This window comes from Homo sapiens, chromosome 20, assembly GCF_000001405.40.
Source record: "Homo sapiens chromosome 20, GRCh38.p14 Primary Assembly".
Taxonomy (NCBI): domain Eukaryota; kingdom Metazoa; phylum Chordata; class Mammalia; order Primates; family Hominidae; genus Homo; species Homo sapiens.
Window position 1 is genome coordinate 62,372,667 of NC_000020.11, and position 15,928 is coordinate 62,388,594.

Below are 15,928 nucleotides of genomic sequence, written 5' to 3' on the forward strand. Positions count from 1 at the left end.
GAGGCAGCTTGGCCCGGCCCCTCACCGACCTTGGGACATCTGGCTGGGGGTCCCACATGGATGGGAACACCTGCAGCTCTGCAAAGGCCCCTCCTCAGGACAAAGGCCTCCCCTCATCCGGGTTGGCTTTCCCGCACTGCAAGGGCAACTCCCCAGGCCCCACAGTCAGCCGCTTCCAGCCTCATGGACGCCCACGGGGCTTCATCCCCTCTGCCTGCGCCCTGGTGTGTGCCTTGGCTAGCCAGGGTCCCTGGGGCAGAGGGAAGCGTCCCCCTCCCACCCCTCCCTCTCCTGACTCTCTCCCTCTGACTCTCTGCCTCTCTGTCTCCATCTGTCTGTCTCTGTTTCTGTCTCTATCTCTGTATCTCTTTCTCTGTCTGTTTCTGTCTTCAACTCTCTGTCTCTATTTCTCTGTCTCTATCTCTTTGTCTATCTCTCTGTTTCTCCGTTTCTGCTTGTCTCCATCTCTCTCTCTATTTCTGTCTCTGTCTCTATCTCTTTGTCTATCTCTGTTTCTCCGTTTCTGCTTGTCTCCATCTCTATTTCTGTCTCTGTCTCTATCTCTTTGTCTATCTCTGTTTCTCCGTTTCTGCTTGTCTCCATCTGTCTCGATCTCTGTCTCTTTGTCTCTGTTTCTCTCTGTCTCTGTATCTCTCTGTCTTTGTGTCTCTCTATCTCTCTTTGTCTCTCTTGCTCTCTTTGTGTTCCCCCCGCTGCTGCCCTAGCCCTGCCAAGCTCAGCCAAGGGTCTTAGGGATCACAGGTGTGAGCCTCGGTCACGTTCACTAGGGATCGCGGGTGTGGGCCTCGGTCACGTTCACTAGGGATCGCGGGTGTGCGCCTCGGTCACGTTCACTAGGGATCGCGGGTGTGCGCCTCGGTCACGTTCACTAGGGATCGCGGGTGTGGGCCTCGGTCACGTTCACTAGGGATCGCGGGTGTGCGCCTCGGTCACGTTCACTAGGGATCGCGGGTGTGGGCCTCGGTCACGTTCACTAGGGATCGCGGGTGTGCGCCTCGGTCACGTTCACTAGGGATCGCGGGTGTGGGCCTCGGTCACGTTCACTAGGGATCGCGGGTGTGCGCCTCGGTCACGTTCACTAGGGATCGCGGGTGTGCGCCTCGGTCACGTTCACTAGGGATCGCGGGTGTGCGCCTCGGTCACTTTATTTGACTGGATCGAACGTGGGGCTTGGCTTAGTCTGGGGGCTGGTGCCATCACTGGGACACAACGGGCCACGGTTCCTGCCCAGGAGCTGGTCCAGATTCTGCAGTGAACCAGGATCCCAGGAGTGACGGCTCCCAGGCCGCGCACTTCCACACTGAAAGTGCCATCCACAACAGGGATGGGCCCTCTGTCCTTGCGCCCTCTGCCCGGGAGGCATGTTGCTGCCCCCGGCTCACAGAGGACAGTGCAGCGTGTCCTTGGGCGTCCAGGATGAGATCTCCTGACCCACATCAGCCCCCCAGACAAAGCACATAAGGCAGAGGCAGCTCCGTGTGCTCACTGCTGCGTCCGAGCCCAGCGCTGGGCTGCTGGACGATGGTGGCTGAATGACCGATCGCCCCTCTCCCGTCACCTTCCCACTGCCCCGGGACCCACATCCTCCCACACCAGGCGTGGCAGGCAAGGGCCCAGTGCCCAGACTCCAGCCTCTTTTTATGCCCGCCTGAGGCCCACACCGTGATCCTCACTCTATAGCCACCAACAGAATCAGGAAATAAGACAATAACAACTACAGGCAGGATCCTGCGGGGACCAGTGTGGTGTCCAGTGTGGGAGCTGCTAGGACACCAGCTGGTGGTTCCTCAAAGGACTGAACACAGTTGCACACGGCCCAGCAGCTCCACACCTGGTAGCTGCAGAGAGAAGCGTAAACACGTCTCTGCACAGACACTCGTGGGTAAACACGCACGGCAGCGCCAGGCACCAGAGCCATCAGGCAGAAACAGCCCGAACGGCCATCCAGGGTCGACTGGGGAGAGAAACGTGGTCCATCCACACAGTAGACATCAGTGGACAGGAGCGGCACTCTGTACAGGCAGGCTCTTGGAGGGGCTGCCCAGGGACCAGGGACCGGAGGCCTGGGATGTGCCATGGCCACTGGCCCCTCGCCAGTGTGGAGGGGGAGAGGGAGGAGCACGTGGATGCTGAGTGAGCCTGCAGAGCCAGTTCAGGCGGGCAGGTGCCTGGGAGTCTTCAGGTGGAGGTCAGTAGAAGCAGGGTACTTCTTGGTGCTTATGGGCCACCCACACAGCCTGCCAACACCAGCTGGACCTGTGCTCATGCACAGAGAGGTGGGGGCCTGTGTTTAGGGCCATCACATACCCAGGACACCCAGCCCTACACACTGACTCAGCCTGGGGCGGGAGAGACAGCCCCGCAGCTGCCTCTGTCTTCAGCCCGGTCTGCCAGGAGCCTGAGTTACTAGGCAGGTCCAGGGCCTGACCCCCGTCCCCTAGGGTCTTCATTGATTCAAACCGCCAAGCAACACCTCAGCCACCTCCACCTATTGCCAGCCCAGTTTCACGAAAGGAAGGCTGAAAGGTGGGAGGATGGCAGTGCCACTGAATCCCCTGGGCTGGCTGCCCCAGCTCCGGCAGGAAGATGCCCCAGCTGGGCCCCCATGTGCCTGTCCCCTGCCAGGAGGGGGAGGGGGAGGGGGTGGGCCAGGTGAGGAGGTAACCCCAGGATCCCACTGGGCCCCCGATGTGTGGAGGGGCAAAGTGTGGGTGGGCCCACTCCAGGCCTCTGTTTGCCACAAGTTCCAACATTAAGAAAATATTTGCAGCTCTTCTGGGGAGCTATTTCCTGGGGGAATGTAAACACACGGAGACTTGGAAGGCTCCCGCTGACCACAGATGGTGCTGGGGTCCACTGGGGGCCCACGTTTCCTCTCGCAAGGGATCTGGACCACCCCCGGCAGCCAGGTCAGGGGTCTGTGCGTGGCCTCCCATGGGGCTCTCTCTCAGAACCCGGGAGTGGCAGTGGGGATGGCGTGCAAGAGAGCAGCTGCCACGGAGCCTCCTGGCGGCCAGGGTAGGGCCTGTCGGCCCAGTTGCCCACTGCCTGCTCCTGGCTCCACAAAGGGCTTGCTGGGCAGCTTCAGGTCAGAGGCGCAGCCCCCACCTCCAGCCCCCTGAACATGTGGGGGTTGTGTTTTCTTGACCTGGGCCCCCCCGTGCCTCCCTCCCACCTCTGTGCAGGAGAGCCAGGCAGCCCGTGCAGCCGACATCAGGCCGGGCGCGGAGCTGGCTCCCATCTCCTGCGAGGGACCTGCTCTTGTTTTTTTTTGTTTTTTGAGATGGAGTTTTGCTCGTCGCCCAGGCTGGAGTGCAGTGGCGCGATCTCGGCTCACTGTAACCTCTGCATCTCGGGTTCAAGCGATTCTCCTGCCTCAGCTTCCTGAGTAGCTGGGATTACAGGTGCTCGCCACCACGCCCAGCTAATTTTTGTATTTTTAGTAGAGACAAGGTTTCACTATGTTGGCCAGGCTGGTCTCGAATTCCTGACCTCAAGTGATCCACAGGCCTCATCCTCTCAAAGTGCTGGGATTACAGGTGTGAGCCACCGCCTGGCCCCCTTGTTATCTGTATTTTACAGATGGGGAGGCTTGGTTGCAGGTGAAGTGTGGCCATGTCCTGCCAGCCCCCCGGAGCTGGTGAATCCCTGCCTTATCTGCAAGTGGCTTCTCCCCACACAGAAAGGCGAAAGGCGACCTCCGCCTGAGTGTTCCAGCAAAGGCCGACTGGCTCAGCTCCAATATGCTGAGCTCGGCAGAGCCTGGACAGGGCTCCCCAGGCCCCGCAGGAGGCTGGCGCAGGCCGCAGGCTGGCCTCCCTATCTCCACCAGGAATGCACTGAGCCCCTGCACCCCTGCCCACCCAGGTGGAGGAATGTGGCAGGGGCTGCTGGGAACTCGGAGCCTGGAGGAGGGCTTTTGAGGCCTCTGCCTCCTGGAATTCCCCAGGCCTGGCACCAGGCGGCTGCTCCCTCAGGATCCGCCTGCCTCGGCCTGCCCCCAGGCGGCCGTGCTCTCAGATTCTCCTCTTCCCAGGCTGTGGGGACCTGCAGAGGAACCGGGCCATCTCAATTCCGCTCACTCTGTGAAAGTCCCCTGCTCAGAGAGGCCTTCCCTGGCCACCCTGCCCCTGGAGCCCCTTCATCCGGGCCATGGCCCTTCAGAGCCCCTCAACAGGCGCTGGTCAGACAGTCTGGCTGGACACTGACCTGAGGTGGGGCCGCTTGGCCCCCACTCCCAAGAGGCCAGAAGCACTTGCCCTCCAGTCGTGACAACCAAAAATATCTTCTGAGTAGCCCCATGTCCCGGGGCTGAATCTCCCCGGTGAGACTCACAGCCCTACACCCTCCTGGGATGCCAGTTGTCCCGTCCTAGGCTGCGAGCTCCCTGGGCACAGGGCTGTCTGTTCCACGCACCAAGGAGCGCCTGTACCCAGCACGGGGCTTGGAAATGGCGGGTGGACATGACGGGTGTTCTGTGCTCTACGGTTCCCGGCTTCTGATTTGCAATTGTTCGGTAGAAACCGTACTTCCAGTGCCCACACAACCAATCTGTTTTTCTCCTTCTTATAGCATTGGACAAATTACGTGAGGCATTTGATGCATTATTATAAAGGAGGCTTCGTGGGGGATGACTTCGCCCAGCTGTAGGCTAATGGAAGTGTGCTGAGTGTGTATAAGGCAAGAAGGCTCAGCTGTGATGTTCCGTGGGTTAAGTGTATTAGAGCATTTCAGCTGTCGGTATTTCTAACCTACCACGGGTTTATCAGGACGTGGCCTCACGGAGGGTCGAGGAGCACCTGTGTTTGTGGAGTGAATGAATGAAATGAATCAATACTGGTTCTCATGTAGCCTTGTCATGCAGGCCTGGAGCTCAGATGGTTCCTGGCTCCTGGTGCAGGCTCCTGGGGACAGCAGTCAGGCAGGGGCTGCCCTGTGTCCTGGCCGGATGGTTGGGGAGCTGGTGGGCCTGGCCCATTCCTTGCCCAGTCTTGGCTCAGTGCCTCCCTGGCTGGGAGCCTGGGAGAGTCTTAGGGCTTCAAGTGCTGAGCAGGGACAATGGTGCCTCCCTGCTGGGTGGCCGTGAGGCCCCCTGAGGGGAGTGGGCAAAAGCACCCCGAGGCAGGGGCCCCAGGAAGCGCTGAGAGGTGGTGGCGCTGTGGGAGGGAGGTGGGGGCCGCGGCTCTGCCTGACTCCCAGGCCGGGTGCCAGGTTCTTGGCAGGAACCCTCCTGGGCCCTGCCAGTTGCTGGGCGCCTCCCACCAGCATGGCCGGTTGAGAGGTCTGCATGGCACGCAGTGGCCGGCCCGGGGGTGCAACCCCATCCCCTCTCTGGGGTCCCTTTGCAGGGCAGCCTTAGGATCCATTCACTGTGGCCCCAGGGCCCAGGGCGACCTGTGACCCTGCGGAGCCACCTGCAGGAGTCCCAGCAGATGAGGGCCTCTGGCTGCCCCTCAGGGGCTTGTTGGGTCCCACAAGAACTTCCAGGGCCTCGGAGCTCCAGCCGGGCCACAGAGCTGGGAACCTTGAGTGGCTGGGAACCCTGAGGAGCTGGGAGAGCCAGGCTGAGCAAGACAAGCCTGGGCGACTCACCTGGGGCAGGAATGTGGATTCCATCACTCCGCAGAGGCTTTCAAGCAAAACACAGCCTCGTCTCTGGGCCTGTTTCTGCCGTGCGGGCACGTCCAGCCCGACGCTCTCAGAAGCAGCTGGGATGGGCTCGGGGAGGTGGGGGTGGAGCAGGAGTCCCAGCCGCCTTCCTCTGGGGCCCATCCCAGGCTCCCGGCTGGGCGCCAGCAGGGCTCCAGAAATGAGGGGGCCTCACACCGTTGCCTCTGGACGTGCCGTGCCCGAAATCCCGCCATTCCCACTGGGCATGCCGGGCCCTCGAATCCTCCATGACTCCAGGGAAGCGACTCCGTCCCGCTTGGCCTCAGTCACTGCTCTGTCAATGGGATGATAACTGCCCTTCCCGCAGGCTGCCATGGGGTCTCTGCGTGGCCCCAGCAGGTGCCAGGCTGCTGGTCAGGACCCCTCGTGGGCCTCCCAGGAGGTGGCTCCTCTCAGGTCACAGTTCACAGGTGGAAGGATGGAGCCTGCTGATGATGGCTCTCCAGGCCCTGCTGTCCTGCCCTGGCACTGGGGAACTTGTTCCATGGAGCCCTGCATCCGGCCGGCCACTCCCTTCCCATGCCTGCTTGCTGGCTTAGACATTCTGCACATTTCCCAGAGGGCAGGAGGAGCTAGGCCCCGAGAGCCAGTCCCAGGCCCCTTCCTGGACACATAGGCAGACAGAGGTGGCTAATTTTCTTTTTCTTTTCTTTTCTTTTTTTTTTTTTGAGACGAGTCTCACTCTGTCGCCCAGGCTGGAGTGCAGTGGTGCGATCTCCACTCACTGCAAGCTCCGCCTCCTGGGTTCCCACCATTCTCCTGCCTCAGCCTCCCGAGTAGCTGGGACTACAGGCGCTCACCACCACGCCCGGCTAATTTTTTGTATTTTTAGTAGAGACGGGGTTTCACAATGTTAGCCAGGATGCTCTTGATCTCCTGACCTCGTGATCCGCCCCCGTCAGCCTCCCAAAGTGCTGGGACTACAGGCGTGAGCCACCGCGCCCGGCTAATTTTTTGTATTTTTAGTAGAGACGGGGTTTCACCGTGTTAGCCAGGATGGTCTCGATCTCCTGACCTCATGATCTGCCCCCGTTGGCCTCCCAAAGTGCTGGGATGACAGGCGTGAGCTACCGCGCCCAGCCAGAGGTGGCCCATTTTCAGTAGGAAAACAGCAGCAAAAGTAAAAGTTAGTTTTTCTCTGTGTCTGCAGGTGCACCCCGTGTGGACGCGACACTGCCTTTGCATAGTGCACCCCTCACGGTGTCCCTGGCAGTCCCTTTCCCTGTGGATCCTCCCCTCCACCCACGGTGAAGGAGGAACGGTCCTGCCTCCAAATGGGAAAACTGAGGCTCAGGGAGGAGAAGGGCCGGGTGTGTGTGGAGGTGGCACCAGAAACAGGCCTGATTCCCAGGTCTCTGCCTTAATTACGGTGCTGCCCTGGCTCCGGAATGCTGGGGCCTGGGGTCAGAAGTTGGCCTGGAGGCCGGGTGCGGTGGCTCACGCCTGTAATCCCAGCACTTTGGGAGGCCGAGGTGGGCGGACCACCTGAGGTCGGGAGTTCGAGACCAGCCTGACCAACATGGAGAAACCCCATCTCTACTAAAAAAAAAAAAAATACAAAATTAGCCAGGCGTGGTGGCACATGCCTGTAATCCCAGCTACTAGGGAGGCTGAGGCAGAAGAATCGCTTGAACCCGGGAGGCGGAGGTTGCGGTGAGCCAAGATCGCGCCATTGCTCTCCAGCCTGGGCAACAAGAGCAAAACTCCAGCTAAAAAAAAAAAAAAAAAAAAATTGGCTAGGCATGGTGGCGGGTGCCTGTAGTCCCAGCTACTCGAGAGGCTGAGACAGGAGAATGATGTGAACCAGGGAGGTGGAGCTTGCAGTGAGCCGAGATCACGCCACTGCACTCCAGCCTGGGGGACAGAGCGAGACTTCGTCTTAAAAAAAAAAAAGCCGGGTGTGGTGGCTTATGCGTGGTGGCTCATGCCTGTGATCCTGGCACTTTGGGAGGCCGAGGCGGGCGGATCACGAGGTCAGGAGATCGAGACCATCCTGGCTAACATGGTGAAACTCTGTCACTACTAAAAATACAAAAAATTAGCTGGGCGTGGTGGCGGGCACCTGTAGTCCCAGGTACTTGGGAGGCTGAGGCAGGAGAATGACGTGAACCAGGGAGGCGGAGCTTGCAGTGAGCTGAGATCGTGCCACTGCACTCCAGCCTGGGGGACAGAGCGAGACTCTGTCTCAAAAAAAAAAGAAGTTGGCCTGGAGCCGAGACTGGGGATCCGTCTATGCTGGGGTCAGAGGTCAGCTTGGGCCCAGGTCAGGATACAGGCCCACAGGTCCCGGGTGGGGACAGACCCCAGTCTCTGCCCCAGGTGGGCCTGGTCCTGGAGGCAGAGTGGGCCTTGCTTCTGGTCTCCCCTTCAGCTTCCTTTCTTTGAACCAGTTTGGCTGAGCTGGCCTGGCGCCTGGCCAGCGTGGGAGCCCTTGGTGTGTCCACTGGGATGGAAGTGCCTCTTTTCCTGTCATTTGGCTCAGATTTCAGCCAGCCCCCAGGAGGTGTGGGGAGAGGACTTCTCCGGGTCTCCCTGCTGGGTCAGCCTGTACTCCAGGGAGACTCACGGTGGGACCCAGTACCCAGTGCCCAGGCCCGGCCAGCCCAGCCCCTCTGCCTGTCTTCACCATGTCCTGGAAAGGGGCATGAGGAGCCTCTGGGGAGGGGGGTGGGGAAGGTACCCTGGACCCCCAGGCTCTGACCCAGTGCCTGCCGTGACCACAGGGGTGGGACCTTCAGGATCTGGGCACTTTCTCATAGGTAGGTTCTCCCTCAATGTAAAAATTCTAAAGTCTCATCAAGTAAAATAAATTCAAAAAACAAAATAGTAAAGTGAGTTAAAGTAAAACTGAATGGCACGAAATGGAAAGATGCGCTGGCCCAACACTCCCAGGGTCCCTGTGACAAATGCCGTGACAGTCTCCAGGGCTCCCGGGCAGCTGGGCCTCCCCCTCACGTTGGTGACCTCACTTAAGCCTCTGCAAACCTGGGGCGGGGCTGTTACTGCCTCTGTCTCTCCAAGACGAGAGGATGTCGAGTCATGGCTTAGGAGGCAGTGCCCCAGGAATCCCCTGACAGCTCATGGCCAGGTCCGTGTTCTCCCCACACCCCATAAGTCCCACTCTGAGGCTGGCTATCGTAGCCTTCACCCAAGAGCGGGTTCTATCTGGGGCAGGAGTGGGGGCTGGTGGCTGTAGCTCAGTGTCGGGCTCGCTGCAGGAGAAGGCCCATCCCACGGCCCTGACCTGCCACTCACCCGGACACCCACCTCCCTGGCCTGGAAGGAGGATTTCCTTGTTCTGGGCTTGTTCCCTTCTACACACAATGCATTTGGGGCTGGCCTGGGCCCTGCTTGGCCCAGAAACAGCTGCTCTGGGAAGGAGGAGGGAGGCTCTTCTCCCAGCCCGCACCACAGCATGTCTGAGAACATGTTTACCTGCCTGTGAGGTGAGCCTGAAGGAGGGGCTGGAGAGCAGAGCCAGGGCTGTTGTGCACAGATACCTGCCCAGGCATCCTGAATAGGGGCCCGTGTGAGATTGGGGTGGCTATAGTGTGGCCTCCTGAGTCAACAGCCCCAAATCCAGACCTAGTCTTGTGATCTTGGGCATAATAACGATGACAATGATGGTGGTGACGATGGTGGTTATGATGATGATGGTGACAATGACAATGTTGATAATGGTGATGATGGTGATGATGGTGACAGTGTGTTGGTGGTGATGGTGGTTGTGATGGTGACGATGATGGTGGATATGACGGTGATAGTGAAGATGATGGTGAAGATGATGATGATGGTGATGACAATGGTGGTGACGATGATACTGACAGTGATGATGGTGATAGACAATCATGACAATAATGATAGTGATGATGATGGTGGTGATGATAGTGGTGATGGTGATGATGGTGGTGGTGATGATAGTGATAGTGATGGCGATGGTGGTGATGGTGACAATGATGGTAGTAGCAATGATGATGGTGATGATGGTGAGTGTTAGTATGCTGGGTGCCACACCTTTTTCTGAGCACTGGACAGGCATTGGTTTGTTGAAAGCAGCCAACTGCAGCACGGCTGGGTGGCTCCATGACAGTCGCTTTACTTTACAGCTAGAGGGAGAAGCAGCTAAGGAATTTGTGCCAGGTCACACTGCTAAAGAGGCACAAACCTGGGGTGACACTGGCAGTCAAAGTTATATATAGCAATTGCGGGGCAGAAGCAGGTGTGAGTGTGCTCTCAGGTGGATGCAGGGGCACTCAGAGACCCTGACTGGGATCACCCTGCAAAGGCAGCAACTGCTCTGAGCCGCTGGGGGCTGCTCTAGGATTCTGCAAAAAAGGCTCAGGCCGACGGTGTCTTCGAGTGCTAGGTCCTCCTGCCTCCTCAATCCCTCCTTCACACCTGCCCTCTGGCCCTTTCCCACGAGACCCACTGGAGGCCCAGTAAACAACTTACTGTACAGACAGCGGGTGGAGGGATGGAGGGGAGGGGCTCAGCTCCCTTCAGCCAGCCCCGTCCCTGCTCCAGCACTGCTCTCAGACACCACCTAGTGGCTTCTGGGGACAGTGCTGGTGGCCCCAAGCCTCCTGACAGGTAAGCAGTGCCACCTCCTCTGCAGGCCCCTGGAGGCTCTCCTGATGGAGCGACCCAGACGGCTTCCCTCGGGAGGACACTCCCCTCTCTGTTTTGGGGGTCTGCGATTTTGTACAGAAGGTTTTCTTAAAGAAGTGCTCATCCAGATTTCGTGGGCTCAGGAGATTTAGGTTGCAGAGGTTTCCCTTGAAGAACTCAGCCTTGGAGACCCGGCGCCCAGAGAGCGGACTTCAAGCTTTGTGTGAGTGAGTGCGTCCTAGAGTCTTGCCAAATAGCACCTATAGTCTCTGTAAAATTTTTGAGCTATAATTGATGCAAAATAAAATCCACTTTTTAAAGGATACAATTTGACGTTTTGACTTTTTTTTTTAAGACAGAGTCTTGCTCTGTCGCCCAGGCTGGAGTGCAGTGGCGTGATCTGAGCTCACTGCAAACCTCCGCCTCCCAGGTTCACGCCATTCTCCTGCCTCAGCCTCCTGAGTAGCTGGGACTACAGGAGCCCGCCACCATGCCCGGCTAATTTTTTGTATTTTTAGTAGAGACGGGGTTTCACCATGTTAGCCAGGATGATCTCGATCTCCTGACCTTGTGATCCACCTGCCTTGGCCTCCCAAAGTGCTGGGATTACAGGCATGAGCCACCGCACCTGGCCAATGTTTTGACTTTTATATGCAACTGTGAAACCATTGCCATCATCAAGACAGCATATACCTCCCATCACTCCCCGCGTTTCCTGTGTGTGTCTGTAATCCCATCATCAAGACAGCATATACCTCCCATCACTCCCTGCGTTTCCTGTGTGCGTCTGTAATCCCACTTGCTCACCACCCCACCCCAGGCAACCACCAACATGATTCCTGTCAGTTTTGATTGGTTTGCATTTTCTAGAGTTTATACAAATAAAATCACACAGTATGCTGTCTTTCGAGGGGGACGTACCATTATTTATCCATCTGCCTGTTGGTGTATGTGTGGATTGTTTCCATTTTTGGCTATGACACATAAAGCCTCGATGAACATTTCAGTACCAGTCTCCGAATGGACATATGTTTTCTTTCCTTTTTTTTTTTTTTTTTGAGACGGAGTCTCGCTCTGTCGCCCGGGCTAGAGTGCAGTGGCGAGATCTCGGCTCACTGCAACCTCTGCCCAACGGGTTCAAGTGATTCTCCTGCCTCAGCCTCTCCAGTAGCTGGGATTACAGGCGTGCACCATCAGGCCCAGCTAATTTTTGTATTTTTAGTACAGACAGGGTTTTGCCATGTTGGCCAGGTTGGTCTCCAACTCCTGACCTCAGGTGACCCACCCGCCTTGGCTTCCCAAAGTGCTGGGATTACAGGAGTGAGCCACTGCACCCAGCCTGGATACAGGTCTTTTATCAGATACAGGTTTTGAAAATATTTTCTGCCAGTCTGTGGCTTTCTTTCTTTCCTTCCTTTCTCTCTCTTTTTTTTTCTGGGTCTCCTGTCACCCAGGCTGGAGTTCTGTGGCATGATCATGGCTCATTGTAGCCTCCACCTCCTGGCTCAACTGATCCTCCCACCTCGGCCTCCTGAGCATCTGAGACTACAGACACACACCACTACATCCGGCCAATTTTTAAATTTTTTTGTAGAGGGGTTTCACCATGTTGCCCAGGCTGGCTGGCCTCAGACTCCTGAGGTCAAGCAATTGCCTGCCTCAGCCTCCCACAGTGCTAGGGTTACAGGCATGAGCCATCACTCCTGGCCTCTAATCTGCTTTTTTTGATGTGTCTTTGTCTGATTTGGGTATCAGGATAATACCGGCCTCATAAAATGATTGGAAGCATTCCCTCCTCCTCTATTTTTTGGAATAGTTTCAGTAGGATTGGTATTAGTTCTTTAAAAAATGTTTGGTAGGCCAGGTGTAGTGGCTCACGCCTGTAATCCCAGCACTTTGGGAGGCCAAGGCGGGCAGATCACGAGGTCAGGAGTTAAAGACCAGCCTGGCCAACATGGTGAAACCCCATCTCTACTAAAAATACAAAAATTAGCCAGGCGTGGTAGCAGACCCCTGTAATCCCAGCTACTCTGGAGGCTGAGGCAGGAGAATCGCTTGAACCTGGGAGGTGGAGGTTGCAGTGAGCCAAGACCGCACCACTGCACTCCAGCCTGGGAGACAGAGCAAGACTCCGTCTCAAACAAACAAACAAACAAACAAACAAACAAACAAAAACTAAGAATAGAGCTGCCATAAATAAAGCAATCCCACTGCTGGGCATATACCCAAAAGAAAGGAAATCAGTATATGAAAGAGATACCTGGCCGGGTGTGGTGGCTCATGCCTGTAGTCCCAGCTACTGAGGAGGCTGAGGCAGGAGAATCACTTGAACTCTGGGGGCAGAAGTTGCAGTGAGCCGAGATCGCACCACTGCACTCCAGCCTGGGTGACAGAGCGAGACTTTGTCTCAAAAAAAAAAGAAAGAAAGGAAGAGATACATGTGCTACGATGTTTATCACAGCACTATTATTTGTGGGAGCTAAAAATTAAAACAATTGAATTTGTGGAGACAGACAGTAGAAAGATGGTTACCAGAGGCTGGGAAGGGTAGAACAGTGGGAGGAGGGGGGCAAATGGGGATGGTTAATGGGTATAAAAAGACAGAAAGAATAAGACCTAGTGTTTGATAGCACAACAGGGTGTCTACAGTCAATAATGATTTAATTGCACATTTTAAAATGACTAAAAGAGTATAGTATTGGATTATTTGTAACGCAAAGGATAAATGCTTGAGGTGATGGATGCTCCATATACCCCATGTGATTACTACGCACTGCATGCCGGTATGAAAATATCTCATGTGCCCCATAAATGTACACACCCACTATGTACCCAAAAAATTAAACATAAAAAAACTTTTTTTTTTTGAGACGCAGTCTTGCTCTGTCGCCCAGGCTGGAGTGCAGTGGCGGGATCTCAGCTCACTACAAGCTCCGCCTCCCGGGTTCACGCCATTCTCCTGCCTCAGCCTTCCGAGTAGCTGGGACTACAGGCGCCTGCCACCACGCCCAGCTAATTTTTTGTATTTTTAGTAGAGATGGGGTTTCACCATGTTGGCCAGACGGGTCTCGAACTCCTGACCTCAGGTGATCCACCCACCTCCGCCCAAAGCGCTGGGATTACAGGCCTGAGCCACCGCACCTGGCCACTGAGTCTTAAGTTTTCTGAGGCTAGTTCTACATCCTAGGATCATGTCCCCCGCCCAGAGAAGACCCCAACATAGGCCGCGCTGCTCCCTCCGTCTACCGGTTTGGAGCTTCTCCTGGCAACAGGGTTCAGGCTACTAACAAGGCCTTCCTCAAGACCCCACCCATAACCAACGACCATACTTCGTGGGTCCATCTTTGTAACATCTTTACTTCCTTGGAGCAAATTCCCAGGAATGGGTTTTCGGGGTCCAAGGGTATGCACCTCTAGCACTACGACAAACGCGGCCAACACGCTTCAGGGAAACGGTGCCCCAGTTTGCATTCTGCTTCCCCTGCCCTGCCCTGGGGGTCTGACTGGTGAAACATGGGATGGCAGAGTGGTCGGGTGTTTCAGATTCCACGGTGGGCCGGGGTCTTTTCCTACCCTCGGGAGCCGTCTGAATTTCTCCTCTGCCGAGTTCCTGCGGGTGTCCTTCGCCCACCGGCCCGGGGGAGTGAGTAGCAGGCACCAGGTGAGCAGGCCTCCGCTCGCAGCGGCTACGTGCACGGGCAGGAGCACCGCCCCACGCCCCAGGTGGCCGCAGGGTGAGGGGACCGGAGGGCGGGAGGCGCACAATGGGGGGCACGCCCGTATCTCTAGCCCGGCCGGCAGCGGGCAGCGAGGCTCAGTCCTCGCCCCTTCTCCCAGCTGCTATTCGGGGCTCCCGAGGCGCTCAGAGGGGTCGACTGCGTCCGTGGGGCACAACCCAGGGGCCAGGCTAAGACGCCACACACGGCAACGACCCTCAACGACAACGACCCCCACGACGCCCCGCGCCCCAGGGCCAGCAGGCTGGGGTCCGAGAACCTCCTTGCCGGAAGCGGAAGTGCGTCACGGCGACGGCCGGCAAGCACGCACCGCGCAGACTCGCTGTGGTGGCGTGACCCGGAAGCGCTCGCCGAGGCCCCTCCTTGCCCGCCGATATCTCTGCCGGGTGACTAGCTGCTTCCTTTCTCTCTCGCGCGCGGTGTGGTGGCAGCAGGTGTGGCGCGCGGCGCGGGCTTCGGGCTCAGGGCTGGGGCTGGGGCGGGAGTGGGGGCTTGGACGCGGGGGACGGGGTGCGGGGTGCTGGGTGCGGCTGGGGCCGTGACCCTAGGGGCCGGTTTGCGCCGGGAGCCGGGGCACGGTTCCGGCCGTACTCACGGCGCCGCGCGGTGACTCCCCAGGCGCAGCCCAGCCTCGAAATGCAGAACGACGCCGGCGAGTTCGTGGACCTGTACGTGCCGCGGAAATGGTAAGCGCCCCCCACATGCCTCTCTTCCGTCCTTACCTAACCACCACGTCCCCTCGCCTGCCCTTGTTCCCCCACACCCCTCCCGTCCTTACCTCGTCACGTCCCTAACTTGTCCTGCCCCCGACGTTACTCTTTTCCATTCATATACCCCCAACCTCCCTCGTCCCCTCTTTCATTCTTACCGCCCAAGTCCCCTCTGCTCACTGCGCCCTTTCTCCACAGCTCCGCTAGCAATCGCATCATCGGTGCCAAGGACCACGCATCCATCCAGATGAACGTGGCCGAGGTGAGCTGGGAGCCCGGGAGGCGGGAAGGTTGTGATATATGTGCGGGAAAGGCAGGCTGTCCCATTGTGGAGGAGCCCCTGGGGTGAAGGTACAGGCAGAGGCTGGCTTTGAGGATTGGTGTTTCCCAAACCTGGGGGAGTGGTTTGTGACCCTTCTTCTCTTTCTAGGTTGACAAGGTCACAGGCAGGTTTAATGGCCAGTTTAAAACTTATGCTATCTGCGGGGCCATTCGTAGGATGGTGAGTGTTTCCCTGGGCTTTGCTCATCACTTCGGGACATCGTGGACTTTACCGTGCGCATTGGAGTGTGTGATGGTGCCTGAGTAGATCTGCTGGCAGAGTAGTTTGAGCCAGCTGGACTGGGCTGGCCGCCTGCCGCTTCTTGAGGGTGGAAGAGGGGTGCTCTGAGAAGACACTCAGGCAGCAGACTCTGCCTCTCACTAGGAGGTGCCCCCCCGACCCCGCTCCACCATAGTCAGGCTGCAGGCTGCCCCGGGAGAGGTGGCTCCCCTTCTGCGCCTGTCTCCATTCGCTCAGCGGGGGAGAGACGTGGGCTGGTGGCACAGCTGACCTTCTGCCATCTCAGGCAGCCGGAGTGGAAATATTCTTAGTGTGCTTTTTTTTTTTTCTTAAGGGTGAGTCAGATGATTCCATTCTCCGATTGGCCAAGGCCGATGGCATCGTCTCAAAGTAAGGTTGGGGGCTCACATTTGGGCAGAGTGAGTGGACTAGGACTGCTCCAGAGGCGTGGTCTTAACGTTGTCCTTTTCCCCTGGTTCTAGGAACTTTTGACTGGAGAGAATCACAGATGTGGAATATTTGTCATAAATAAATAATGAAAACCTACCTGTGCAGGTTCATTCTGTGTCTGTAGGCCCAGGGTTGAGGTTTTGCTGTCAGTGGGTGACGGGTGGGGTAGG

The 15,928-nt window shown here is 57.4% G+C and overlaps 1 protein-coding gene and 2 long non-coding RNA genes across 3 annotated transcripts, besides 11 other annotated features; 1 reads left to right on the forward strand and 2 right to left on the reverse strand.

Moving 5' to 3' along the window:
• Positions 1-1,148: 1,148 nt before the first annotated feature.
• Positions 1,149-6,161, reverse strand: LOC105372708 (uncharacterized). Its single transcript, XR_936966.4, has 2 exons — positions 5,614-6,161; positions 1,149-4,820 (listed from the first exon to the last, which is right to left on the reverse strand). It is a non-coding gene; the product is annotated as an uncharacterized LOC105372708 (long non-coding RNA).
• Positions 1,729-2,332: an enhancer, noted in NCBI's record as "H3K4me1 hESC enhancer chr20:60949451-60950054 (GRCh37/hg19 assembly coordinates)". NCBI's record gives its function as "activates a minimal SCP1, AML or CMV promoter by ChIP-STARR-seq in naive H9 embryonic stem cells {active_cell/tissue: H9 hESC(naive)}" and the evidence as "EXISTENCE:reporter gene assay evidence [ECO:0000049][PMID:30033119]".
• Positions 2,333-2,934: an enhancer, noted in NCBI's record as "H3K27ac-H3K4me1 hESC enhancer chr20:60950055-60950656 (GRCh37/hg19 assembly coordinates)". NCBI's record gives its function as "activates a minimal SCP1, AML or CMV promoter by ChIP-STARR-seq in naive H9 embryonic stem cells {active_cell/tissue: H9 hESC(naive)}" and the evidence as "EXISTENCE:reporter gene assay evidence [ECO:0000049][PMID:30033119]".
• Positions 5,343-5,944: an enhancer, noted in NCBI's record as "H3K27ac-H3K4me1 hESC enhancer chr20:60953065-60953666 (GRCh37/hg19 assembly coordinates)". NCBI's record gives its function as "activates a minimal SCP1, AML or CMV promoter by ChIP-STARR-seq in naive and primed H9 embryonic stem cells {active_cell/tissue: H9 hESC(naive and primed)}" and the evidence as "EXISTENCE:reporter gene assay evidence [ECO:0000049][PMID:30033119]".
• Positions 8,618-9,298: an enhancer, noted in NCBI's record as "H3K4me1 hESC enhancer chr20:60956340-60957020 (GRCh37/hg19 assembly coordinates)". NCBI's record gives its function as "activates a minimal SCP1, AML or CMV promoter by ChIP-STARR-seq in primed H9 embryonic stem cells {active_cell/tissue: H9 hESC(primed)}" and the evidence as "EXISTENCE:reporter gene assay evidence [ECO:0000049][PMID:30033119]".
• Positions 10,351-10,530: an enhancer, noted in NCBI's record as "active region_18199". NCBI's record gives its function as "activates an Ori minimal core promoter by ATAC-STARR-seq in GM12878 lymphoblastoid cells {active_cell/tissue: GM12878}" and the evidence as "EXISTENCE:reporter gene assay evidence [ECO:0000049][PMID:35858748]".
• Positions 13,575-13,624: an enhancer, noted in NCBI's record as "active region_18200". NCBI's record gives its function as "activates an Ori minimal core promoter by ATAC-STARR-seq in GM12878 lymphoblastoid cells {active_cell/tissue: GM12878}" and the evidence as "EXISTENCE:reporter gene assay evidence [ECO:0000049][PMID:35858748]".
• RPS21-DT (RPS21 divergent transcript) lies at positions 13,637-14,323 on the reverse strand. Its single transcript, NR_186459.1, has one exon. It is a non-coding gene; the product is annotated as an RPS21 divergent transcript (long non-coding RNA).
• Positions 13,903-14,594: an enhancer, noted in NCBI's record as "H3K27ac hESC enhancer chr20:60961625-60962316 (GRCh37/hg19 assembly coordinates)". NCBI's record gives its function as "activates a minimal SCP1, AML or CMV promoter by ChIP-STARR-seq in primed H9 embryonic stem cells {active_cell/tissue: H9 hESC(primed)}" and the evidence as "EXISTENCE:reporter gene assay evidence [ECO:0000049][PMID:30033119]".
• Positions 13,975-14,094: a silencer, noted in NCBI's record as "silent region_13110". NCBI's record gives its function as "represses an Ori minimal core promoter by ATAC-STARR-seq in GM12878 lymphoblastoid cells {active_cell/tissue: GM12878}" and the evidence as "EXISTENCE:reporter gene assay evidence [ECO:0000049][PMID:35858748]".
• Positions 14,437-15,854, forward strand: RPS21 (ribosomal protein S21). Its single transcript, NM_001024.4, has 6 exons — positions 14,437-14,470; positions 14,655-14,722; positions 14,945-15,008; positions 15,177-15,248; positions 15,643-15,698; positions 15,791-15,854. The coding sequence occupies exons 2-6, from the start codon at positions 14,673-14,675 to the stop codon at positions 15,798-15,800; spliced, it is 252 nt and encodes an 83-aa protein (NP_001015.1). The 5' UTR covers positions 14,437-14,470; positions 14,655-14,672; the 3' UTR covers positions 15,801-15,854.
• Positions 14,525-14,714: a silencer, noted in NCBI's record as "silent region_13111". NCBI's record gives its function as "represses an Ori minimal core promoter by ATAC-STARR-seq in GM12878 lymphoblastoid cells {active_cell/tissue: GM12878}" and the evidence as "EXISTENCE:reporter gene assay evidence [ECO:0000049][PMID:35858748]".
• Positions 14,525-15,286: a biological region, named in NCBI's record as "H3K27ac-H3K4me1 hESC enhancer GRCh37_chr20:60962317-60963008".
• Positions 14,595-15,286: an enhancer, noted in NCBI's record as "H3K27ac-H3K4me1 hESC enhancer chr20:60962317-60963008 (GRCh37/hg19 assembly coordinates)". NCBI's record gives its function as "activates a minimal SCP1, AML or CMV promoter by ChIP-STARR-seq in primed H9 embryonic stem cells {active_cell/tissue: H9 hESC(primed)}" and the evidence as "EXISTENCE:reporter gene assay evidence [ECO:0000049][PMID:30033119]".
• Positions 15,855-15,928: the final 74 nt, after the last annotated feature.

Excerpts from the sequence above, each read along its gene's own strand:
- RPS21 (NM_001024.4), top strand. The coding sequence starts at position 14,673 with ATGCAGAACGACGCCGGCGAGTTCGTGGACCTGTACGTGCCGCGGAAA. Across the intron at positions 14,723-14,944 it reads CTGTACGTGCCGCGGAAATG|CTCCGCTAGCAATCGCATCA; the intron begins GTAAGCGCCCCC and ends CTTTCTCCACAG. Across the intron at positions 15,009-15,176 it reads TCCAGATGAACGTGGCCGAG|GTTGACAAGGTCACAGGCAG; the intron begins GTGAGCTGGGAG and ends TTCTCTTTCTAG.